Raw genomic sequence first — 26,461 nt, 5'->3', positions numbered from 1 at the left:
CATGTAAATTCAGAAATGTGGTGTTTTTTGTTTTTTTTTTTCCTGTTTCGGAATTCTCTATACATCCAGGATTAACACATAGTGTCTTGGAGGCATATCATTAATTTGATCTTTTTCTTTTTTTTAAACACACAAAGTTTTATGTTATAAGGAAAGTAAATGTATTCCATCCACTATTTTCACAAATTGTTCAGTTGGTTGAATTAGTGAAGAATTTATGGGTTTAAAGCTTCTTTTCTATGTATGGATCCTAAAAATGTCCAATCTAAATATCATTATCTTGAAATACAGCTTCTCATTCCAGTCACCTTTTACAGGAGCTCAACTTTTTAAACAAAGGTTGCATTTCATGACAAGATAAACCACATGATAAAAAGATTCATATCACATGTACTTTTATAAAACTAATAAATCAAGTTATATTCAACTTCAACAGTCCTGCTCTTTGTCTGCTAACATACTGATGCTGTGTTTTAAGGACACACACATTTTTCCTGAAAACATATAACCTTTATTAATGCCAAGGCAATTGTGAAAATTAAGTAGTTAACATTCAGTTGTGGTGATGTTTCATTTAATTTTGTCTCTAACATAAAAATTAAAATATTCTTGGAACTGCATATTATATTGTTTGTTTTTCTAACTTCAGAGGCTATAACAAAGTTCTGTGATACACAGTAATACATATATAAAAGCCTGCATACATACATACATACATACATATATATATATCCACACATATTTATATCTGTTTCAAATGGATATCCCCTCCAGGAACAAGGAACCATGTATATAGCTTTGGCATGACCTCTCTTACATAAAGTGATATGAGCAAAAGCCAACAGATGGTTGAGAAGTAAATGAGGAATGAGGAAGTAGGAATATAAATATAAGCTGTTTTTCTTTTTTAAATCATGGCAAATTTGCTAAGAAATAAAAGAGAAGAATAAGACAGTTAACTCAGGGTCAAGTTGTGCGCACACACACAGGCATACCTCAAAGATGCTGAGGGTTTGGTTCCAGATCACCACAACCACAATAGAGTGAAAATTGCAATTAAGTGAGTCACACAAGTTTTTTGTTTTCCCATTGTGTATAAAAGTTATGTTTACTATATACTGTAGTCTCTTAATTGTGTGATAGCACTTTGTCTAAAAAAAGTACATACCTTAATTAAAGAATACTCTATTCTTTAATTCACAAAATGTATAACAAACACTAACGATCATCTAAGACTTCAGCAAGTCTTTGTATTTTTGCTGGTGGAGGGTCTTGCCTTAATGTTGATGGCTGCTGACTGATTAAAGTGGTGGTTGCTGAGGGTTGGATGGCTATGGCAATTTCTTAAAATAGGACAACAATGAAGCTGGCTGCATTGACTGACTCTTCCTTTCACAAAAGATTTCTCTGTAGTATGCAGTGCTATTTGATAGCATTTTACCCACACAGAACTTTTAAAACTTGGAGTCATTTCTCTCAAACCCTGGCACTGCTTTATCAAATAAGTTCATCTAATATTCTATATCCTTTGGGTCACTTGAAGAATGTTCACAACATCTTTACCAGGAGTAGATTCCATCTCAAGAAACCACTTTCTTTGCTCATCCGTAAGAAGCAACTCCTCATTTGTTCAAGTTTTATCATGAGATTGTAGCAATTCAGCCCATCTTCAGTGTCCACTTCTAGTTCTCTTGCTGTTTCCACCACATCCACATCTGCTGTTACATCCTCCACTGAATGCTAGAACCCCTCAAAGCCATCCACAAGGGTTGAAATCAACTTCTTCCAAATTCCCGATAATGTCGATATTTTTGTCTTTTCCCATGAATCACGAATGTTTGTAATGGTATATAGAATTGTGGATCTTTCTAGAAGGTTTTCAGTTGGGTTTTCCCAGATCAGTAAGAGGAATCACAATTTATAGCAGCTATAGTCTTACCAAATGTGTTTCTTAAATAATTAATAAGACTTGAAAGTCACAATTAGTTCTTGATCCATGTGCTACAAAATGCAAGTTGTGTTAGCAGGCATGAAAACACATTAATCTCCTTGTAAATCTCCATCAGAGCTCTTGGGCGACTACCTACATTGTCAGTGAGCAATAATTTTTTTTTAACATATGTTTCAATAGTGGGCTCAAAATATTCAGTAAACCATGCTGTAAACAGATGTGCTGTCATCCAGGCTTTGTTGGTTCATTTGCAGAGCATAAGCAGAGTAGATTTAGCATAATTCTTAAGGACCCTGAGATTTTTGGAATGGTAAAAGAGCACTGGCTTCCACTTAAAGTCACCAAGTGCATTAGCTACTAAGAAGAAAGTCAGCCTGTCCTTTGAAGCTTTGAAGCAGGCAATAACTTCTCCTTTTTAGCTATGAAAGTCCTAGATAAAATTGTCTTCAAATACAAGGCTGTTTTCTCTACATTGAAAATCTGTTGTTTATTATAGTGGCCTTCACCAGTGATCTTAGCTACATCTTCTGGATAACTTGCTGCAGCTTCTACATCAGCACTTGCTGCTTCACCTTGCACTTTTATGTTATAGAGATGCCTTTTTTCCTTACACCTCATGAGCCAACCTCTGCCAGCTTCAGGGACCACTGAATATAACAGTATGATATCACTATATTCACTGTATCAGATATAATGATCACTATAACAGATGTAATAATAATGAAAAAGATTAAACTATTCTAAGAATTACTAAACTGTGACAGAGACATGAAGTTAGCGTGTGCTGTTGGAAAAATGGCAACAGTGGACTTACTTGATACAGGGTTGCCACAAACCTCCAATCTGTAAAAAATGCAACAAAGAACCATGATAAAATGAGATATACCTGTACACACATATGATTATATGCATATTATTTTACAATAGAAGACCTTATACATTATTATAGGCTAAAGATGAATGAAAGGATACTCAGACAAGGAAAGCTTATAGATACAAAACTGAGAAAGGCTAATTGATAGAGATCTTGAAAAGAGGAGGGATTGAGAGAGAGATGGAACACGTTTCTGAATTTGACAAGTAGGTATTAATTTCTGGAAACATTGCTGTCCCACATTTCATATGCACTGTGAAGTTAAATGACATCCCACATTTTCTAATGTGAGAAGGCCATGTTAAATGAATAAAACGTTCATCTTGGAATTTGAGATATTTAGGTACAGGCATGCAATCACATTACATCATGGAAAATTGAGTACCCATCCCCTTAAGCATTTATCCTTTGCATTACAAAGAACCCAATTATACATTTTCATTATTTTTAAATGTACCATTATTATTTACTATATCCCTCTTGTGCTGTCAAGAACTAGGTCTTTTTCATTCTATTTTTTTGTACCCATTAATCATCTCCACCTCCCTACAAACCCCCAGCATACCCTTCTCAGCCTCTGATAACCACTATTCTCTTCTCTATCTCCTGAAGTTCAATTACTTTGATCTTTAGATCCCACAAATAAATGAAAACAAGTATTTGCATGTTCTGTGTCCACTAATAATGAGTATAAATGATAGCAGACAACCACCTTTAATTCAGTTATACTTTTGAGTATACCTGTATTTTATTAAAACAACAGCATTTGTGTAGTAATTGTTTATGCCCAGGACATATGTGTATGTGTAGAGTGCTTATATACATAAAATAGTGTACATATGTACATTATATATTTTTCACCATCTTCAAATATGGCTTCAAATGTGTGTGGATGAATTGAGGAACATGTTCTAACTTTATTGCCTGCTGTACACACACCCACCCTGTGTGAGCGATCTGCAGCCCACAGATATTAATAACAAAGATAATTGTTTATTGTTATCTAAAGTTGTGCATGCAGTACTAATTCCAGAGCCACAAAATTAATGTTACATAATACGTTTATCAACTCAGCATTTCACTTTCCACAGAAATACTATCTTTCAAATGGCCAATGTGTAAAAATGAAATTCGATAGATTTAGTAAAATATAAATGCTCAGTACTCTTAAAAATTCTATGTTTGAATGCAACTTTTTAAAAAAACTTTTTTTAAATAAGTTCACATGTAACTTTAAAATATCAAAATGACAAACATAAAGGAAGAAAGAAAATACAAAAGAAAAATAAGACAGAAAATAACAAAATGACATTAATAAATTTTGTCTTATCAATAATAATTTTAAATGTAAATGAATTAAACTCCCCAGTCAAAAGACACAGAGTGGCTGAATGGATAAAAAACAAAACCACACTATATGCTGCCTATCAGAAGTTCACTTTAGATTTAAGGACACACATAGGCTAAAAGTGAAGGGATGAAAAAAGTTATTCCATGCAAATGATAACCAAAAGAAAGTATGGATAGCTACATTTATATCAGACAAAACAGGCTTTAAGTAAAAAAAAAAAAAAAACTGACACGAGACAAAGAAGGATGTTATATAATAAAAGCATCAATCCAGCAATAATATATAACAAAGATGTATGCACCCAACATCAGAACATCTAAATATATAAAGCAAACATGGACAGCACTGAAGGGGCAAATAGGCAGCAATACAATAATACTAGAAAGCTTGAATACCTCACTTTCAGTGATGGATAGAACAGCCAGACAGATGATCAATCTGGAAACAGAGGACTTGAACAACACTATAACCAAATAGACTTAAACAGATAGAGAACATTTGACCCAATAGAAATAATACACATTTTTCTCAAGTGCATATGGAACATTCTTCAGGATAGATCATACGTTAGGTCACAACAAATTCTTAACAAATTCAGATTGAAATCATACCCAGTCTCCTTACTGACCACAGTGGAGTGAAACTAGAAATTAGTAGCAGAAATAAATAGTCTCCTTTTGCAGATGACATGATCTAAATATAGAAGACACTAAAGGACTTCAAAAAGCTCATTAGAACAAATAAACAAAATTCAGTAACATTGCAGGAGACAACATCAACATTTGAAAAATCAGTTGTGTTTCTATACTCTAACAACTAACTACCTGAAAGGAAAATGAGGAAAACAATCTCATTTACAATAGACCCAAAAAGAATACTACAGTTAGGAATAAACTTAACAAAGGAGGCGAACTTAACAAAGGAGTTTTATATACTGAAAACTGTAACACTGTGATGAAAGAAATTAAAGAAGACACCAATGGAAAGACATCTCATGTTAATGGATTGGAAGACTTAATATTGTTAAAATTTCCATAGTACCCAAAGTGATCTACAGTTTCACTGCAACCTCCATCAAAATCCCAATGGCATTTTTAATAAAAATAGAAAAAAATTCTAAAATACATATAAAACTACAAAAGACCACAAAATAGCCAAAGAAATCTTGAACAAAACAAGACTAAAGCTGGAGGCATCACACCTCCTAATATCAAAATGTATTACAAAGCTTCTGGTAATCAAAACAGTAGGGCACTAGCATAAAGACAGACATTTAGACCTTTGGAACAGAATAGAGATCCCAGAAATAACTCCATGGATATATGGCCAATTGATCCTCTATAAGGGTGCAAACAATACATAATGGTTTCCCCATTGTGCAACAAATGGTGTTGGAAAACTGAATATTGACATGCAAATAAAGATGAAATTGGATCCTTATCTGACACCATACACAAAGAACAACTCAAAATGGATTAAAATCTAAAATTTAAGACCTAAAATGTTAAAACTCCTGAAAGAGAACAGGGAGAAAGCTTCATGGCATTCATTTATTTTGGTAATGATTTCATGGATACAGCACTAAAAACATAGGTAATAAATCCAAAAATAAGTGAGACTACATCAAGCTAAAACTCTTGTCCACAGAAAAGGAAACAATCAACAGAGCTATAAAGACAACTTTTGGAATTGGGAAAATATTTACAAGCCATATATTTGATAAGGGGTTAGTATACAAAATATGAAAATAACTCCTACAACTCAAGAGCAAAACATCTCTAATAACCCAATTGAAAAATGAGCTAAGTACTTGATGTTTTTGGAGAAAAGACATAGAGGTAGCCAATAGCTACATGAAAAAATGTACATTACTGGTCATCAGGGAAATATAAATCAAAACCAAAATGAGATATCATCTCTTACCTGTCAGGATTGCTGTCATCAAAGAAACAAAAGACAAGTGTTGGGGAGGATGTGGAGAAGGTGGAATCCTTGCACAATGTTGATGAGAAGGCAAAATTGTGCAGCACCCACGGAAAATAATATGGAGGTCCCTCAAAGAATTAAAAATATAACTACCATAGCATCCAGAAAGCCTACTTCTGGATACTTATCCAAAAAAAAAACTGAAGTTAGGATCTTGAAGAGTACTTCTATATTCATTACAGCACTATTCAAAATAGCCTAGATGTGGAAACAACCTTAATGTTCCTTGACAGATGAATAGATAAAGAAAATGTGGTATATACATACAATGCAATGCTACTCAGCATAAATAAAAGGAAATTCTCAATATGTGCAAACCTGGATGAACCTTGAAGACATTGTACCAAGTGAAATAAACCAATCAAAAAATATTGCATGATTCCACTTACATGAGATATCAAAAATGGTCAATTTCATAGATTCGAAGAGTGAAATAGTGGTTGCCTGAAGTGGGGAGAAGGGAGAAATGGGGAGTTACTAATCAGTGGACATAAAGTTTCAGTTAAGCAAGATGAATAAGCTCCAGAGATCTGCTGTAAACATTGTACTTAGAATCAGCCGTAATACATTGTACATTTAAATGTGTGTTAGGATGGTAGATCTCACCATAGGATGGTAGTTCTTACCATAATGTAATAAAATTTAGAAATACAGAAAAATTACAACATCTTGAAAGAAAGTTTGGTGAGCTTAAAAAAAAAAACCTAACTCTTTGTTTTCCCCCAAGCCTCTTGTTTAATACTAATGTGGCTGCAGAATGCTTCATTTACATTCATATTTCATCTAGATGAATCAGAAATCTTTCAGAGCAATCCAGGTAGGCCTGATGAGTTACAATTGGAGAGCTGATGAATGAGGCTGCAGGAGATACACAGCACAATTTAATGAGGCCAAAAGGTTTGAGAATTAGAACAAAATGTTTGAGTTCTTTTGTGAAATGTGCTACTCTTGGGAATTAATCTACCTGATTATAGATAGGTATAGCTTTAAAACAGGATCCATGTTAATCTCCTCACACAGCTGTTCCAAATTAAAATACATTTGCTTTATAATCTTTACCTGCAGCATTGCCATTCCTTAGGGCTCACCCATGTACATGAGACCTCCTTAAAAATAGTGCCAAAACTAAAATGAACTCTATCCCGTAGTCCAAACAAATGAATAAAGGAAAGTAAAACCAGACACAGAGTTGAAAGATAATTTCCAGGGCTAGCAAAATTATTTTATTTTCCATAGAATAGCCAAGGGACTGCTTAGCAATACATACTTAAGATTGCCTAGCCAGTAAGGAAATAGTTCTCTGATTCTTTAATTCTCAGAATTAATTTAAAAAATGAAAAAACATTCAAATTAATAAAAATTTCAAAATAACTAGTAAATTGAATGAGAACAAATGAGAAAAAAGCATATGATATGAAATAACTTTCAAAATAAAGAATGCACATCTAAAGTTATAATCACTTGACAATAAATCCATTTTTGAGAATGCATTATTCTTAACGTACTTATTTTAAAGAATTCACTTTAAAAAATGATTGAGAAAGTCTTTTCTATTTTGCTCTCAGATCCAAACTAGAAATGGTCAATAGTTTGTAAAATCTAAACCAAGTTACAAATATCTGAATATGCAGATGTGTTTTATGTAGTTAGAGTGAACATTGTCAGTTTTTCAACAGATAGTAAGGAAAATAATCCATGGAAAATAATTTATTGCATATCTAATGTCTCTGCTTGGCTTCTTCATGCAAAAGTAAAGCCTTTGGAGGAAATGTTCAAATATATGATAATGAAAGACATTTAACTTGTAGCATTTAATTCTATTTAACACATGGATTGCTTCTAAAAACTTTTGTTTCAGATATTTTGATGCTTTCAACAGCTTCTTAAATTTTTAGCTTTAGAATAGGGCTCTACCTTTGTTCATAAAAACCAAGTATTTATTCTGGAGTTACTGTGAAGCTGAAAACAATAACTACAATGTAATATGCCCAGCTAGTAGAGCGATCATCAATTTAAAAGATAAGTTTTATGCACGTGTGTGTGTGTGTGTGTGTGTGTGTGTGTTCTTGTCTCTGATAACATTTATTTACACTTGTTTCTCATAGAGTAAAATTAGTGTTGTCAGTCCCTCAAACTAAGGAATATTTTACCAGGCACATCTTCAGCTTTGAATAATATGACTTTAATGCATTTTACAAAGTCCTTTTAATATCTAAAACAAACTGAATGAAAAATGAGGTTAAGTATTACTTTATGCACAGAGTATATGATATGATGTAAACTTTATAGCACAGAAATGGCACTTGAAATTCCAAGTAAAATTTACTACCTAGAATTGAGATTGCCCATTGTTTGTGTTAAAATGTTATGCCAGAAAGGCACTTTTTGCTGGTTTTTCTGCTGCTCTCTTCTCTGATTAAGAACTCTGCTCACAGTATATCTTATCAGAGGGATTTTCCCCCAGTCAACCTTTCTACAGTTGTCTCTTTCCCCAGACATCCCCTTTATCATTCTCTATTTCAGCACCCTCTTTCTTCCTGGTCTTCTTTCCCTCAGATTACCATTTTTTAATTATTTTAATGCTTTCTTTGCTTTTTATCTGGAGCCTTCCTCTCTAATATAAACTCCACGAAGTAGTTGTATACATTTGTAAACATACCAATGAATTAATTCTTAAAGGATGGCACAGTACTTGATGCATGGTAGGTGCTCATTACTAGCAGATATGTTGGTCATATCAGTACATAGGCAATAAATATGCTCCTAATCTATACAAAATTCATAAATGTTAGAAAAATTAAATAGCTTTGTTCTTTTAGAAGGAAATCATTAAAAACAACATTATTTTCCTAAATTTGGAATGTGGAATAAAACTGTTATAGATGTTCTTATATATGTCATCTTATAAGTAGGGAACACTTCCGTTTATATAAAAAATGTAGTGATGGCACCTTTCCCTTCACTCTAATCAGTCTAACACATAGTTTTTCATGAGCATTCTCATTATCAGTGTCAGTGAAGTATTTGACATTTCCCAAGAGAAACATCTGAAATAAATCACCATACAGCTTATATTCTGACCTCTCAGCTGATAATACTCTTTGCAGAACTGCAAGTTGCTTGGAAATTCAGTGGGCCCGTAGCTTATTCTTCCTTTATCTAGTACTAAATGCATATAGAGAAAAAGGAAACTTCAGATTACTTCCTTATAATCTGATGTTATTAGGATGATTCATTATAGTTGCTAGTGAATTAAAAATATCATAGTATGAAAATATGTCATACACCCACAGGTAAGACACACAAGAGAAACACTAGCTTGGTTCTTTGTGAATGTGTGTGCAAAACTTACATGACTACTGCACTTTGTTGCCGTTTATAAAACAGTTTTTCTGTTTTATTTACTTGAGCGAATTCAACAGACATCGATTAAATTCTTCTCTCCGTCAGACACTCTAGCACATATGTTGGTCATATCTGTAAATTTGCAATAAATACAGGAAATTTCGTATAGATATATCTTATGTGGACATAATGGCATTTAGAAAATACCCTTTTTCATTAGAGTTTGTTGCTAAGTATGATAAAGCTCACCAAATTTGCTCATCTAGGAAGGTGTTATTTTGAGTTATTTTAGGTTCCTCTTGAGGCATAAAAGGCTAAAGACCCACTAATGGAAAATATTACATCATTTAATACTAATAGTTTGACTATAAAAGACATTGTTGTCTTCATCATCATCTTCATTACCATAGCTAATACTTACAGAGCTTACAATTTCCATATATTAATGCCTTATATTTACTTTTCACTTACAACTGGAATAATCATATTATATAATAATAATATCATCATCACCATCACCCCCATTTTGGAAATAAGAAAAGCAAAATCAGAAAAGTAAAGTAACTTGCTGAAAGTCATGTGGCTACTAAGTGGCAGAGTCAAGATGGTAATCTACAGTCTGAATTCCGTAACCTCATGCAGAATGCGCCTGACTGGCCATTTGTCTGTGTCTTTCTCTGAGCAGCTCTGTGGCTATGCTAATCATAATTTGCCCACCCAGGAGCCTGCCTTCAAGTCAGACAGCAAGACTTCCCCACAGGGATCTGCTCCTTACAGCTTTCATAGGCTAAGGTGGATCACCAAAACTTTGCAGGCTGCAAGTAACTTTCAGATCCTTGGGCTTTATAAAATAAAGTGTGAAAGGTGAATTTGGACACTTTTATTTATTACATAATGCTATAAAACTGGAGATATAGGCTAGTCAAATGCTCTGGATTCTGATGTATTTGTGAATTATGGAAACCACATTAGAATTTTACCCTAAAATATTCCATCCAATCTAGTATTTTCATAGGCTTAATGCCAAAAATTTTAGTACACAGAGTAGATTAATATAACCTATTTCTGACTTCATTTTTCTAACATGATTCGAAGGCTGAAGTTTTTATTTTATTTTTATTGGCTTTCTTCATAGACTAATTTCCATTATTCTTTGGAGATTTGCCTATTGTAAATTAAAGTTGAACTCTGGGTAACTGATAATTGTTGAGGTGACAGTTTCCAGTAACTGGGTTCTGCTGGGAAACAAATTCCTATGGCTTTTTAAAATAGGTTGACCCTGTGGCTTTGGAAAACTCTTAATTGAAGACAAGTATTTTAGTTTTCAAACAAAACAAAACAAAAACAGATTAGCAGAAGTCAGAACTGTAGGATAAAGTTACAAATCAGTGGGATATAAGGAACAAATCAGTAATACATTGTAAATAGCCAAAACTGCTCTTACTTAAAAGTCTTCTCAAATCAAGTAGGCCAGAGCTGTAATACCAAATTTAATTATTGGAATTATAATGTTCCTTTCAGAAGAAAAATAGTTTTGAAACAACTAAAAGTAAAATTATGTAAGTTTATAACTATGAAAAAGCCATAGGAATTTAATTTTTTTTGTTTTTTGTTTTTTGTTTTGAGACGGAGTCTCACTCCATCACCAGGCTGAAGTGCAGTGGTGTGATCTCAGTTCACTGCAATCTCCACCTCCCGGGTTCAAGTAATTCTCCTGCCTCAGCTTCCCAAGTACCTGGGATTACAGGTGTGTGCCACCATGCCCAGCTAATTTTTGTATTTTTAGTACAGACGGGGTTTCACCATGTTGGCCAGGATGGTCTTGATCTCCTGACCTCATGATCCACCTGCCTCAGCCTCCCAAAGTGCTGGAATTACAGACATGAGCCACTGCACCTGTCCACGAATTTAATTTTTAAGTTAATTACCCCATCCACCCCACCCCCACCCCACCAAGACAGAATCTCACTCACTGTGTTGCCCAGACAGAGTGCAGTGGTGTGATCTAGGCTCACTGCAACCTCCACCTCCTGGGTTCAAGCGATTCTCCTGCCTCAGCACCCTAGGGTAGCTGGGATTACAGGCGTGAGCCACCATGCTCAGCTAATTTTTGTATTTTTAGTAGAGATGGGGGTCTCACTATGTTGCCCAGGCTGGTCTTGAACTCCTGAGCTCAAGTGATCCACCCACCTCAGCCTCTCAAAGTGCTGGGATTATAAGCATGAGCCACCACACCTGGATTTAAGTTCAATTTTATTAAGTCTGCTCCCCAAATTACTATTGCTTTTACAATTATATAACTATGTGTGAATCCAGAATTATAAGAATTTTTTTTATTTTCAAGGAATAATATAGTACATAAATAAGTGTACTAAGTATATTTTGCCTAAAAAGTTGTTTACCTCCAGTAAGGATGTCTGCTTATTTAATATTAAATAAAAAGATTAAGAATGTATGATGATGTAAGTATAGTGAAACAGCCCAAATTGCAAAATGCAAGACACTAATAGCCCAGTTTTGGTCCTGCTCTTACCACATACTGTAATGAACTTACTGATATGTTGGATAACACCAAAGTCTTCTTACCCTCTGGTAAGAAGTAGAAACCACTCAAGCATCTATTCACTTGTTTTTAACAAACATTTGTTTTCATTTATGAGTAAGACACTACAATAGAAGCTAAATTGTATAATCTTGGAACTTTTAAAGCCCAATCCAACGTTTATTCAATACTAGCTTCCCACAGTATTTCTGTTGAAGACCTGTACTCCAGCATTATGAAAAATATTTGTCAAAGCCATCTGTTACTGTATATGTCTTGTGTGACTCTATGATGAAAATTTCATAGAAGCAAACATTTTGAAAGATGAGCCTACATAAAATCATATATGTTGAGAAACAATTAGCTACTTTTCTAGGAACATTTTACTCACAACAGAAAAGTTTTCATGTGCATTTGTTATATGAACCTAGTGTTGTGATTATAAATATACTACTAGGCATGAGTAAAGGAATTTTTTCTCCACAAAAGTCGCCTTAGCCTGGATGTAGACCTCCTCTAATGTAAGTGATTTGCTTGAGTGAGAGTTAAGATGAAATATTTAGCTTGTGTGACTACTAGTTAAGCATTTTGAGTTATTTTTGTATGTCATTTTGTTTTTATGTAAGATCATGCAAATGTGCTTAAAAGAACTGTACAAATACACATCTTTGAGAAGGTAATTTACCTTAAGTTTTAAATTGTACATATTTCAAGGAATCACTTTATTTTTCTATAACTCCAAAATTAAGGTTAAACAAGAACTGTAAGTTTAAAGAAGTAAAAAAAAAACATCTGAAGAAGCAGGGTATCAATCATCTCTGTGGACTTTAGCATCTGGAATTTAGTTCATTGACTATTCCACATGGTGGCAGTAGCATAGTATGGAATAGGAGGAATGAAACCATTTACAATTCCAAGTGGAAAGTTGTGTACACAAAAGTTCTTTTAAATTTAACCAATACATTATTTATATGCACTATACAATATGTAATGTGAAAGTTTATGAAATCAGTGAAGTTAAAATTCTTATGTAATTAGCTAAAATGTACAAAGAAAAAACAAGTTCAACAATGGTATGGCGCTAGGGAATGAAATTTTTTTATATTGATTTTTTACTGTCAAAGAATGTGTGTAAGGCACTACAATAGATCCTAAGTTTTGAATGACTTATATTAAACTTCTTCTCAACTGAATATATATTTATAAGATCATTATAGAAAGCTCTAAGATAATCTATATAATCCATAAAATCATTAAATACCTATGTGCATATGTGTTTGTATGTGTGTGTATATATACATACATATACGTAAAACCAAGATAAAATAATCTTGGGTATATTAGATTGCGTAAATATTGTAATGGTAAAGCAGTTGTATAAATTATAAAGAAGGTTGCATTTGCAATTAGGATTTTAGTAAACACTTGGAATAAAATTTCAGGAAAATAATGTCTTTAAAAATCTCTACAACAAGGCAAATGAAAATTGAGAAAAGGGGTACAAATTATACATTGATGACATGGGAATGATTCAGTTAGTTAATGCAGCTTACATTTAAGTAGCCAAGAACCTATGCAAGAAAAAGAACAAAGAGGTTTACAAAAGAGTTTGGCGTGTTTCAAAAATTATAATTAAAGCTGACAGAATGTGCACTACCCCAGCCCTGATCCCAAATACCTTAATTTTGACAACCTCTGAGGGGTCCATGTAAGCAAACACGTAGAAGTTAAGTGAAACTTTTATAGCAAAATAAATAAAGCAACAAGCTTTTTTTTTGGGGGGGGGGGGCGGGCGGCTAGTGTTTATTTGGACTATTTGAATGATAACATCAGTCAAATAATCATATGTGTGGATCTGAGTGTAGCCTCGATGTTATTAGAAGTGCTTGCCTTTCTGAGACATAGATATAAGATTCATATAGTCTTACTTGTTTATTTTTTTACTGAAAAGTATTTTATGAAAAATGTTTTACTAGATGATTGTTGTGGTAACAGGAACTTCTAGGCAAAGCCATGCTTCCGTTGAAAATTTGAGGTATGGGTTCAAATGTTAGTTATGAGAGAGATCCCCCAGTGCTTCCTGGAGCATCTGGACTTTTTCCCTGACTTGAATTCATTTGATGATTGTTTAGGGTATGGCATTTAAATTGAATTATCAGTTAGGGTGGTCAACCTGCTTATAAAAATATTTCCATTTAGAAGCTCAACTCTGTAAGCAGTAACCCTACATTGAAATTTATAGACAGACCCAAAAATGACCTAACTGATGAATTAAAGAAAATGAAACCATTGCATTTTGATTGGGAATTCCTGGAGAGAAAGATAGATTGAGAGAGAGAAAAAAACCAACTTCTGTCATTCACTTAGAAACAATTATTTATTCTTACAGTTTGAAGTATTTAAAGCTTGGATTATGTTCACCATGTGGCCTCTTACGTAACCAGCTAAGGCAAACCTGGATGATGTAAGAGTGGCTCACCTAAAACCTTACAAATGAAATAGCAACATCCCTGATGTACGTTTTGGGGGCAGGGATTGTTATAATGTGATCTGTGTGGCCAAGACCAGTGAAAGAACAGAGAACAGATGTGAAATCTCTTTTGAGATTTGTACTCTGAAATCATGTGCAACAGTTAAAAGATACAAAACAATTAGAAAATGTCCATTCAAATAGTCAGTCAACATGAATTAGGGAAAAGCTCTTAACATAGTTCAAACTGGAATTTGAACTCATGGAAAAGTGATTTTCTGCATGTCTATTTTTAGAAATAGCTAAAATGTTGAGCTGAGAGTATGGGTTTACTTAGATTACTAAATTAGTAAAAATCAATATATATGTAAAAATAATTTTATTAAGTATAGGTTGACCTCATGGAATTTACCTTTTATACTTTCACACTATTATTTAAATTCAATGTCTTTCAATAAATAAATTATAAAAACTCTCTATTGATTTTAAAATATTTGCATACTTTATAGCATGTTAGGAACAGTCAATATTTTGATTATATTTAAAAATCCTAGGAGCTTAGAATATCTATTTATATGTGTCAGCCAACTTTTATAGAAAATAAGTAATATACTAACAACATAATTATATGTGTGCATCCCAAATATTTCCATGGTGAAAACCATCACAAAGTTTAATTGTGTTAAGCAACTTTGAAGTACAATGACCTTTCTGAATACTTTTTCATTACTACATACCTATGAAATAGGGAAATAAGCTTTTTTTGCAGTGACTAGCTATGTAGATAACATATATAACCAGGTGAGACAGGTGAAGTGAGGTTGGACCTCAAAGATGTATTTTCTTTTTTCTTTCTTTCTTTCTTTTTTCTTTTTTTGAAATGGAGTTTCGCTCTTGTTGCCCAAGCTGGAGTGCAATGGCACAATTTCAGCTCACTGTAACCTCCGCCTCCCTGGTTCAAGCAATTCTGCCTCAGCTTCCCGAGTAGCTGGGATTACAGGCACCCACCATAAGGCCCGGCTAATTTTTTGTATTTTTAGTACAAACGGGGTTTCACCATGTTAGCCAGGATGGTCTCGAACTCCTGACCTCAGGTGATCTGCCCGCCTGGGCCTCCCGAAGTGCTGGGATTACGAGCGTGAGCCACTGCGTCTGGCCATGAAAGATGTACTTTCTATGAATGAAACATTAGTCATACTCCTGCCTGAGGATTGGAATATGCAACATGACACTCAGGTACAAATTTAAATGTAGCAACTGGAGTCTGTGTTTACAGTAGGTTATGTGATTTTCCTCTGGTCTCTTTCTGAAGGCTTTACTGGCCTCAGTTTTTCTTGTCATATCATTCAACTGGAAAGCACTCTTTTCAATAGAAATTTTAGCTGTTTTATTTTGCCATTGAATTAAATTTTATTCAGCCTAATGAATACCTATTTTTCAATTCATCCAGGTACGTGTATTCACGTTTTCAGTTGGTCAACACAATTATGACAGAGGACCTATTCAGTGGATGGCCTGTGAAAACAAAGGTAACAAATCTGTTTTCTTCTAATAAATTAGAAGAAAAACTATTTTGGTAGTTGTTATTAGGTGTACTTATTTAAAATAAGCTAAAATTGTAGCTAACTTTTATAGGAATCAGACAAGAGTAAGATTCTGAACATGTTTTTATAGAGAAAACACATACCAATTTTGACACTGGCATTACATTATATGAAAATTCTGATATCTGATTATATTTCCACATTCATAAAATAATGTATTACACTGAATTATACTGAATGATATATATCAGATATAATCTTAAATGAAAAATTAGGAATGAAACAATATCTGAATTTCATAAAGCTTAAATATGAGAGTATGACATACATATTTTTTTCTCTGAGTGGTTTAATTACTGTTTTTGAAAAATATTACCTTATACATTCCAGGATAATTCAAATATTTGCAGTGAGCTCATATTTTCACTCAGAAAGAATGATGTTACTGAGAAAAACATATGTTAATTTGAGAAATGAACTGTGATACCATGGCAACAAAAAGAACTTAAATTTTTTCTGAAAGTTATATTTAGGCAAAGATTTTATATAAATATAATAATTATCCATCATGCATCTTTAATAATTTATCCAATGAAAAAATATTTTTAATGATACCATGTTTCCTATTCCTTCATAGAAGAATACCTATTTTATAGTAACTAAGAAATGTAATGAAATTTTTCACAAAGCCTGTGTGTTTGTTGTGAAGATTCATTAACCATCCTTAATTTTGATATTTCAGTATTAGCTCAGTTTTGAAGTGAAATATATTGTTTTCAAAATACTCTTTATAAAATATTTATAAAATAAAATAATTTTGTGGCCCTTTATTATAAAGTAACATTTATGTATAAAAACATATATGTATATTTCAGGTTATTATTATGAAATTCCTTCCATTGGTGCAATAAGAATCAATACTCAGGTATGATTATTTAAAACTTGTTTAAATTATTTTTTTCAAGTAAAAGATATTTTTCTGGTTTAAATATGCTCAATATGGAGAAAATTAGCAAGAATGAAAAGATCTATAATATTACACCTATATTAAAATACTGAGTATCTTGTTGATACATTGGTTTTATTTCATTAACATTGCAAGTGTTTTCAAATAACCAAAACTCAGGTTAATAAAATGAGTATATTGTTATTTTCAGATGTTACAAACATCATAGAAAATAAATAAAATCAAATTTTCTAAAAATACATTTCATGTAATTTGAACTTGAGTCTACTACAAATAATTTTTAAAAGTTTCTTCAAATTGTAGGTACTGTGTATAAAATTAAACACTAATTATGCTGGACAAATTTTACAGGGACCTAGTTGGAACTTAAATACCTCCCAAATAACCCCTGTGGATCTATTTATCAATCTAAAATAAAGTTACAACAAGGAGATGATTTTTCTAACATCATTCACTTGAAAACATGCCTGTTAAATAACTTTTTGTAGAATGTAGTAATTAAGTTAATTTAAATATTTATTCTTTTTAAATAATCATAAATTACTATGAAAATTGCTACTCCTTTTTAAACATAGCTGAAGATCTACAAAATAAACGAAGTCAAAATTTAGCATAAATAACATGGCATTTGTGGACGTGAATACTGAATACACTGAATGTTGAAATGAAACAGCAGCTGCATTTGAGTCTGATGTCTAGATTTGGCACAGTATTTCCTTTATTTTTTGATGTGTTTAAATGTAGTTTTGAATTTCAGCCAAACAATCTGTGATATGAAAGAAAGTATGTGGCTGCTGTATGATTTTAAATTTGTGCAATTCCACGCAGTAAATCACAGAGCCTTAAATAGTTTAGATTAACATGAAACAATTCACAGGGAACGTATTTCACTTACTGGCTGTAACACAGAAAAACAATGCTCTGATTGTTACTAGAAAAAAACTGGGGTAGATATATTGTATAAATAATGTAAGTCAAATATTGTTCATTCAAAATAACGTAGCCATACCACCTATGGAGTACCCAAAATAGAAATTAACTGATTATATATTCAGTGTCAATAATTTTGATTCTATATTCATTTTTAACTCTAGAATATTTTTTCTCTGTAATTTTTATTTCAACACAGCATTCCTAGTTTTAACCACGACTTTTTTTTTTTTTCCCATAAACAGGAATATTTGGATGTTTTGGGAAGACCAATGGTTTTAGCAGGAGACAAAGCTAAGCAAGTCCAATGGACAAATGTGTACCTGGATGCATTGGTAAGAGGTTGAGCTATTCAGTCAAAGACTGTCATAACAAAAGCACACAGATGATTTCTACTTCTTTCTAGATGATGTCTCTGTTTTCCTTTTCATTAAACCCTCCCCAAAATTTCTTCTATCACAGACTTCTTTCCTAGAATTTATATAATTTACATAAAAACATAGACTCGTATGTAGTAGAAAACTACAAATGCAAAGTGTTAGCTTATTGTCTACTTGATCCCTTCATTGGGAATGTAGAATTTCCAACCTGGAATGTTGAATACATGGGCATTTCAATAAGTTTTTTAATTGTTAATGTAAAAAAAAAGATGAAAGTCTTTGTGAATTAGAATCTATTTTTGCAGAGTTAGAACAATAATTTTGAAGAAAGTATTTTTAAAGTAGAGGAGCTAGTAGAAGCATGTCTAGCCTCCACAGCTATAGCTGGATCTGCTAAAACTCAGGAGTACATGCGATTAGATAGGCAAAAACTTTACCTTATACTGAAATCATCACAAACTTCTTCATGTATTAATATAATCTTTTGTGCTAGATTCAACCTCATACTTTTTATGGAAATACGTCATTGAGGCGATCAAATCTGGTGTGAAATAACAAACACATGTTAAATTGTCCATCGCACAATTGACATTTTAGTAAAGATATGTCATTATATTTAAAAGCAGTGGTTCTCAACAAGGGGGTCTTTTTGCCCCTCACAGTTCATTTGGAAAAAATCTGCATTTTTGATTGTCATGGCTTGAGGGGAGGGGTTGCTACTGGCATCTAGAGCAAGCTTGTCCAACCTGTGGTCCAGGATGGCTTTGAATGCAGCCCAACATAAACTTGTACACTTTCTTAAAACATTATGTTATTTTTTGCTTTTTTAAAAATCTCAACTATTGTTAGTATTAGTGTATTTTAGGTGTGGCCCAAGACAATTCATCTTCTCTCAGTGTGGCCCAGAGAAGCCAAAAGATTGGACACCCCTGAGTGGACAGAGGCCAGGCACGCTGTTAAACAATCCTGTAATGCAGAGGAAAATGCCTACCACACACAACAAAGTATTTTCCCTCCAAAAATGTCAATAGGGCCAAAGTTGAAAATCTTTTAAATGTAATTTTTACTTTCCTGACATGAAAGTTATAAATAATAATCATCGCACTTAAGCTTTATTCTTATGTTTAGTCTTAATGAGAAGAACTTATGAATAATTTACTAAAATAATATATTTGGAGAGAATCAAAATAATAAGACCTGAAAATAAATGCTGATTCAGTAACCCTTTTCCCTACTTGGAGTTCAGTGATATGTTCTTACTACTTTTCCAAATGTAATGATGAACCCATAGGGCAAAATGCAGTCCATTTAGAATTACTTATCATTTGGTTTTTAGAAAATAAACATATACAGGAAGTTAGAAGAAAAATAGGCACTATTAACAGCAGCCTTGCACGCTAAGGAAGATAAAATGAAGCTTGCTTACCTCAAGCCCTAGCTTAAAATTACTGTCCAGTGTTCCTTTTAGACATCACATATTTACTTAAGGTCACATAGTGATCCAAAGCTGTGGTCAAAATGTTGCACTTTTCAAATCCATCACAGGACAGTGTATGATAGGAGGAGTCAATAATTATGCCCTGTTGTGTTTCCTTTGACTGGAAGTTCATTAGCCAGCATGTCTGCATTGCTGGTAAGGTTCTTACTGATAGCACAAATGACATTAGGAGGAAATGTTGGTTCTAAATGTGCTGTGCTATAAGCTGAAACTGAATGTAAAAAAAAAAAAAAAAGGAACACGTGAATTTGCTATTCATTGGACACATATAGCGTTATTTTTACTGTTTTGAAGATGATAAAGTGATCCTCATATATTCCTAGTTATTTGTTTATAATCTCTCCACACAGCAGATTAAAAATATATGTTGGTCAAAAATAAACAGTTATATTAAAAAGGAAAAGGTAAATATATTTCAAAACGAAATATAATGGATATAATGAGAAAAAGAATTCTGACTTCAAAATGAAGCCAATATTGGGGGCAAAGTGGGTTGTGGTTAAGAAAATGGAGACATTTTAGCTGATATTAGTGTAAGATTTTTGCAATTGGTGGTGAAAAGTGAAACCATAAAAATGGGGTATAGCATAAAAGTTGGGGAAGCACTGAGTATATCAAAAAAATGATACCTTGGTCATTTTTGGTAATAAGGGGAGATTAGGACAATATTGTGGAGAGTTCATTTTAATTAGGAGACAAAGTGAAGCTCTTTATAAAAAGAGATATGACAAGAGTTGGGCTCTAGAAAATATTTTTAAAATTCCAGGGTAGAGAAATCTTGTTTTATTTCTCTCTTATTTTCTAGAGACATGTGCAGTACTCAGGAGTAGAGTACAAGTTTTTGGTCTGCTTAGTAAATGAGAAAAAAATTCAAGTTGGGCCCAAATGAGTTCATTCATAATTATCTTTAATATGTTAGTAATCTAGTAACTCACTTTAGGCTACATTTTACCATTTTTAGAAGCAAATTATGGTATGCAGTATAAATGCAAAAGTAATGCAAAGGAAATGATTACATCCATATCTACCTTGTCTTAAACCATGGTAGCATTTTTAAAACCATGCATATAGATTATAGCTCTAACAGACACTTCACCAAATCCTTACTAAATTATCTTTTGGATACCAGTTTTACGAATTAATCTATAGCCTGACTTTATTGAGGTGGGAGGTTTTCATTGGAAGCATTAATTTATATAATTAAGGATGTTTCATTGTCTAATGTTCTTGGTTAGGACTTTATAAGCGCCAACATGTGTCTATCACTGTATGAGTCTGTTCTCACACTGCTGTGAAGAAATCCCCAAGACTGAGTACTTTATAAAGAAAAAAGGTTTAATTGACTCACAGTTCCATGTGGCTGGGGAGGCCTCAGGAAACTTAAAATCATGGCGGAAAGCATCTCTTCGCCAGGCAGCAGGAGAGAGAATAAGTGTTGAGCGAAGGGGAAAGCCACTTAAAAACCATCAGACCTCGTGAGAAATTACTCACTATCACGAGAATAACATGGGGGAAACCGTACCATGGTTCAATTACCTCTGGATCTCTCCCACAACACGTGGGGATTATGGGAACTACAACTGAAGATGAGATTTGTGTGGGAACACAGCCAAACCATATCAATCATCATGCACCCAAATATGTATGGTTGTTTCCTTAGTTTTATTTGCTGCAAATAATTTGGTATTTTGGTCTTCTGGAAGCTTCTCTATTATTGTCTCTCCTCCCTAATTCATTCATATTCCCATTGAATTTGGGCCTCCTATGTGCACAATTATGAACCACAACCTGATACCACAACATTTGCTCCCTGATATTAATAAATATTTTTAATGTTCTAGTGAATAATTATTCCAAATCCAACTTTATGAACTCGGTTCTGATTCCAGAACTCTGTTCTGAGTTCTTGAGATTTGGATTTGGAATCACTATTCGTGAGAAGATTAATAATAATTTCTCATTTAGCAAATTCAAAATTTCAAACAATAAAAATTATTTTAAAGAGTGATTTTGTTAAATGTAGTTTTGACATGAAATGGTTAAAATTATAATGGATATAGATGTCAGTAACAAAAGCAAACTCTGACTTGAAAATCAGTTTATTTTGACTAATCTGTATGGATTCATTTAATGTATTAAATTATGTGCTGATTAATAGGATGGCATTAGTTCTACTATGTTAAACTCTTCAGACTAGACTTTTATATTTGATGCTTGCAGTTGTCTTTTCTTCATAATTTTACTTGTCAAAAAGTACTGCTTATTTTGGGGTCTACTTAGAAAAGTAGTACTGCTTCTGAAGAGCGTAACATTTACTTAGAATATCCCAGATATGCAGTATCAATAGAATGTTTCTTTTATTTATCATGTTATTCAACTGCACATTTTTCATTTAGCATGAAGTCTTTGGCTTAGGGCATAAAAAATAAAGAATAAGGCTACAAAAAGGGAAGCTAAATAATCACTTAAAATAATATTTTATTATCACTCTGCTTATGGAGGCCCTGATATTAGGTGAACTATCACTATGAAAAAGGGGGAGGACACAGGGTTACTGAAATGCATACAGGCTGTTGACTATTTGTGTAAGCTGATTATTTTTGAAGTTATCTTAGAGGATTATTTTAAATGTTGCATGCTTCAGTAGGTGCCTAGTAGGTCCTAATTATTTCCAAGATATTTTCCTTGATATTTTAAAAATAAATTTTAATAGATATTCAAAATGAGTTACTAGTTTTTGTGGCTCTTTATAAAGTAACTATAAAATGCAATCTCAGATATCAAAGGTTAGTGCACTCTGACAAAGCTTAAATTGTAATTTTAATTTGCCCTTTCTCTCTGAATCTATTTTTAGGAACTGGGACTTGTCATTACTGGAACTCTTCCGGTCTTCAACATAACCGGCCAATTTGAAAATAAGACAAACTTAAAGGTTAAAAGTTAATTGATAAAATTAATAATAATAAATGACAAACTGTGACGTTGAAGCTCAACATGGATAAGATATTTCCATAAGAAAATACATGCAGTGTAATTGTCTTGTGAGGCCAGAGGTCAAAGGCAACAGCTGCCTATGCGATAACCACCTGGGAAAAAGGAAATGCAGGTCAAACTCTCTGTTGCCCTAGAGCCAAGATTCAACTTAACTCCACTTAACTATGACCTGATGAGAACACAGAGTCAGACTCTGGGAGTAATTATATGATAAATGGACAGTAATATTGTGTGCACATTTTAAGAATCCATCTGAGCTATTAATGGAGTTTAGAAAGAAAAATCCAAAGACCAAAAGCATGGCGATGTTTGTATCAGGTGTACATTGGTATATTAAATCATTCCTCCCCAACTCCCAAACAATAGCTTTTTAAAAATTATCTTGTAACTTAAGGATCTGATTTAAATTAATATTTCTCTTTTTTTTTCTATTTTTAGGATACAGGAAGAATAATTTCATAGAATGCTTAATTTTTATAGCACTGGTTTTTTGTCAATGCAGTAAAATGCCTATTTAAAAGTTCTAAAAATTATTTATCTTGTACTTATTATTTGTTAAATGCTTTTGATTTTAAATAGGATTGCATTCCAATTTTTTAGCTTGATTCAGAAGGAATTTGAGATTTTGAAGTTAAGACTTTTTTAATACTAGAAACTGATTTTATAATGTAGGTGATATACTTGATTTGAGTAGATATTTATTTCCAGTTTATGGTTTCATGACGTCTGCTGCACTTAAGCATTGTTTGATCAGTTATTATATATCTCAGTTGAACTCCTTATGTTAATAAGGTGGCCATAGAAAACAGTTATTTCTCTTTGGGGGCCTATTACCATTCTTAACTATCTGCAGGTTCTAAATATTGTAACTCATAAAAGAGTAACTCTCACTTTCTCATACGTGTTCACAGATCTCACTGTGAACTAAGAGATTGCTTCAGTTGGGAAGTTTTTGCTCAGACTAGGATTGGTTCATGGAAAAGAGCATAGTTGTTGATACAACTTTCTTACTCTATCTGTGCCTACACAAGGTTTAAATGTTTTTGTAATTACTAGATTTTATAATTTTTTGCTTATTATTTTATAATTTATATAATTCCATTTGAAACAACAATTTTGGACCCAAAATTTTAAAACAATTTCCATCTTTATGTCCCATAGAAGATTATGATAGCAGTTTGCCACAAGCCTCCTCTACTTGCACCTAAAACTATGATGCCTGTTGCTTGGTATATAGAAGTTATTAGCAGTGACTAGAAATAGTGTTTTGAGGATTTTATCACCAATATGGTCACATACTTTTAGGATAGTTACATACACAGGAACTATCTGCAGCAAAAATCCAATGTGTTCTTATTCTATATTGTATAATCTTTAAGCTGGACATTCTTGTGGTTTCTTAATTATAGTAAACCATAAAGTCAATCTAAACTCACATATATAGACACACAGCTATAAGGGCTGACCGTACAATAGCAGTGAAAATAAATATTAGAAGAAAAGGGTACAAGAAGTGTCAAACATTTTTATTTATCCTTTATATATTTTAGCCTCAATTATCTAGATTTTCTTTGCTAAGTTAAATGATGATGATAAAGTTGTGGGAAACAAAGCTGAGAATCCTTGTAAATTGACACTGAGAGTGCTTCACCCTATATATACATTTAAACTAATGTGGAATATAACCATAATGCAAGCAAAAGATGATCATATGATAATTGTGTAAAAATACGTAAATTTTTGACATAAAATGCCATTTTTTGCCCTCTTATTATAGAACCAGCTGATTCTTGGTGTGATGGGAGTAGATGTGTCTTTGGAAGATATTAAAAGACTGACACCACGTTTTACAGTAAGATGAAATTTGCTCTTTTGATACCCTTTCTAGTTTAGAACTCTGTACTAACTTAGCTTGGCACTTAGGTAATTCTCAAAAATTATGGGCAGTTATCTTAGCAAAGGAACTAAATGGTTAAAAGCATCTCTAAAATAAAATGATTCCATGTTATCTTTCAACATGCTATACAATGTGTATTTAATACATTATGTATTTAAAAGAATATAGATTTCTAATTGTGACTCAGGCATATCCAAGCTTTTTTTTTTTTTTCTTTTCCAGCTGTGCCCCAATGGGTATTACTTTGCAATCGATCCTAATGGTTATGTTTTATTACATCCAAATCTTCAGCCAAAGGTCAGTATATAATTTGTTTACAGTGATTAGTGTTTTGTAGAATTAATGATTAATGTTCTTAATAGGATTGTTGTTTTAAAATTTACCGTATAACACTAAATATCAAAGTACAGTCTCTAATGCGTCTCTCTTCTTAGATGACAAGGACCACACATGATACTATATGAAAGTGTGAAAGCAGTTTTCATTTTCTGTTACCAATTTAGCTGCAACATTTTTATCTCAAAGACAGCCATTATCACCCACTGAGCCTCAATTTCATGCATCCCACTTCTGACTTTGATTTTAAGGCTGTAAGATAAAAAGGATATTGCTCCAGACAGGAGTGTGAACCTGATAAATATTAGTAATGTTTATTTATGTCCAGGCCACATTTTCTATTGCCCTTCTCTTCTAGTAATTAACTCTGCTTTCCATCTCCCAGAATGGTTTTCCTTTTACTTTAGGACAGGCCTGTAAACAGATGTAAGAGATTGTATAAGTAAAATCCATGTGATGGGCTTCAGAAATGGGAAGTATTTATTAATCAGCAAGTTAATCTGAAAGAGATAAAATGCCATCGATGAACCATATTATCCTAATTTTTATGCCTATTTTCTCAAGATACAAGATATTTTCACAAATTACCTTGTACAACTCATTTCACTCTTCATGAACTGTTTCACAGGGCATTAATAGCAAAATTTATTTAGACGTCTTATAATTGTAACTTTAGAAGCATCCTTTTAGTTATTGTTATACTTTGAAGATAATGTTGAAGATCCTTTAAACCATGCAGACTTATGCATACTACTACTTTCTCCCGAGTCATGGATAGTTAATGTTAGTCATATATTAGAATATATCACAAGTGTGTGAACATACTCACACAAAAACTTGTGTTATTTAAATATGGTTCAAATCCATAAGAGAACTATTGATATTGAATGCAAAAATACATTAAATGTAATATATTAATTATATATTTTAATACATTAAATAATATTACATTTTATAACTAATGTCTATTTTAGTTTATCTGACTTTGGAACGTATTTCCATATCAAATTCATCACATAATTATCTGTAGCACGTGTAGCTGTTGATCACCCTAGTTATGTTTAAATGTGTTGTTTTAATATAAATGTTGCATAAGTACTTTTTCATATTATTATTAAACTACCACAGCTCTTTAAAAGCATATCCTGTTAAATTCCTCTTAAAAGAGTAATTTATGTTTGGCTAATCATCCTATGATTTTGCTATAGCTTGAAAACTTTTTATATCTTAAATTTTTTTATAATTTTGAAGTATTATTGTTTGGGCTTTGTATATCCAGTGTATTTTCAATTAAATTCCCCTAACTAAAGTAATTCAAAAGGAATAAAAGTGTAATGTGGGCTGGGCGTGGCGGCTCATGCCTGTAATCCCAGCACTTTGGGAGGCCCAGGCGGGC

At 32.7% G+C, this 26,461-nt stretch overlaps 1 protein-coding gene and 1 long non-coding RNA gene across 17 annotated transcripts in view; one reads left to right on the top strand and one right to left on the bottom strand.

The window, feature by feature from the left end:
- CACNA2D1 (calcium voltage-gated channel auxiliary subunit alpha2delta 1) overlaps positions 1 to 26,461 on the top strand; it is a 497,513-nt gene that overhangs the window by 413,508 nt on the left and 57,544 nt on the right. For all 15 annotated transcript variants that reach the window (XR_001744873.3, XM_005250574.4, XM_005250572.4 and 12 more), the window contains exons 13-18: positions 15,970 to 16,048; positions 16,939 to 16,988; positions 18,206 to 18,295; positions 22,693 to 22,770; positions 24,610 to 24,684; positions 24,952 to 25,026. Coding sequence is in view for 14 of the 15 variants with exons in the window: in XM_005250574.4 (XP_005250631.1) it covers positions 15,970 to 16,048; positions 16,939 to 16,988; positions 18,206 to 18,295; positions 22,693 to 22,770; positions 24,610 to 24,684; positions 24,952 to 25,026 (447 nt within the window). In the remaining variant the exon portion in view is untranslated. The remainder of the gene's footprint in view (positions 1 to 15,969; positions 16,049 to 16,938; positions 16,989 to 18,205; positions 18,296 to 22,692; positions 22,771 to 24,609; positions 24,685 to 24,951; positions 25,027 to 26,461) is intronic.
- Positions 494 to 21,272, bottom strand: CACNA2D1-AS1 (CACNA2D1 antisense RNA 1). Of its 2 annotated transcripts, NR_110076.1 has the most exons (5): positions 21,187 to 21,272; positions 9,515 to 9,639; positions 9,244 to 9,327; positions 6,552 to 6,606; positions 494 to 2,794 (listed from the first exon to the last, which is right to left on the bottom strand). It is a non-coding gene; the product is annotated as a CACNA2D1 antisense RNA 1 (long non-coding RNA). The 2 variants fall into 2 exon arrangements; NR_110077.1 differs by lacking the exon at positions 9,244 to 9,327.

Source organism: Homo sapiens, chromosome 7 (assembly GCF_000001405.40).
Source record: "Homo sapiens chromosome 7, GRCh38.p14 Primary Assembly".
NCBI lineage: Eukaryota > Metazoa > Chordata > Mammalia > Primates > Hominidae > Homo > Homo sapiens.
Note: the sequence above shows the minus strand (reverse complement) of the source record. Positions and strands in the feature narration are given on the sequence as shown.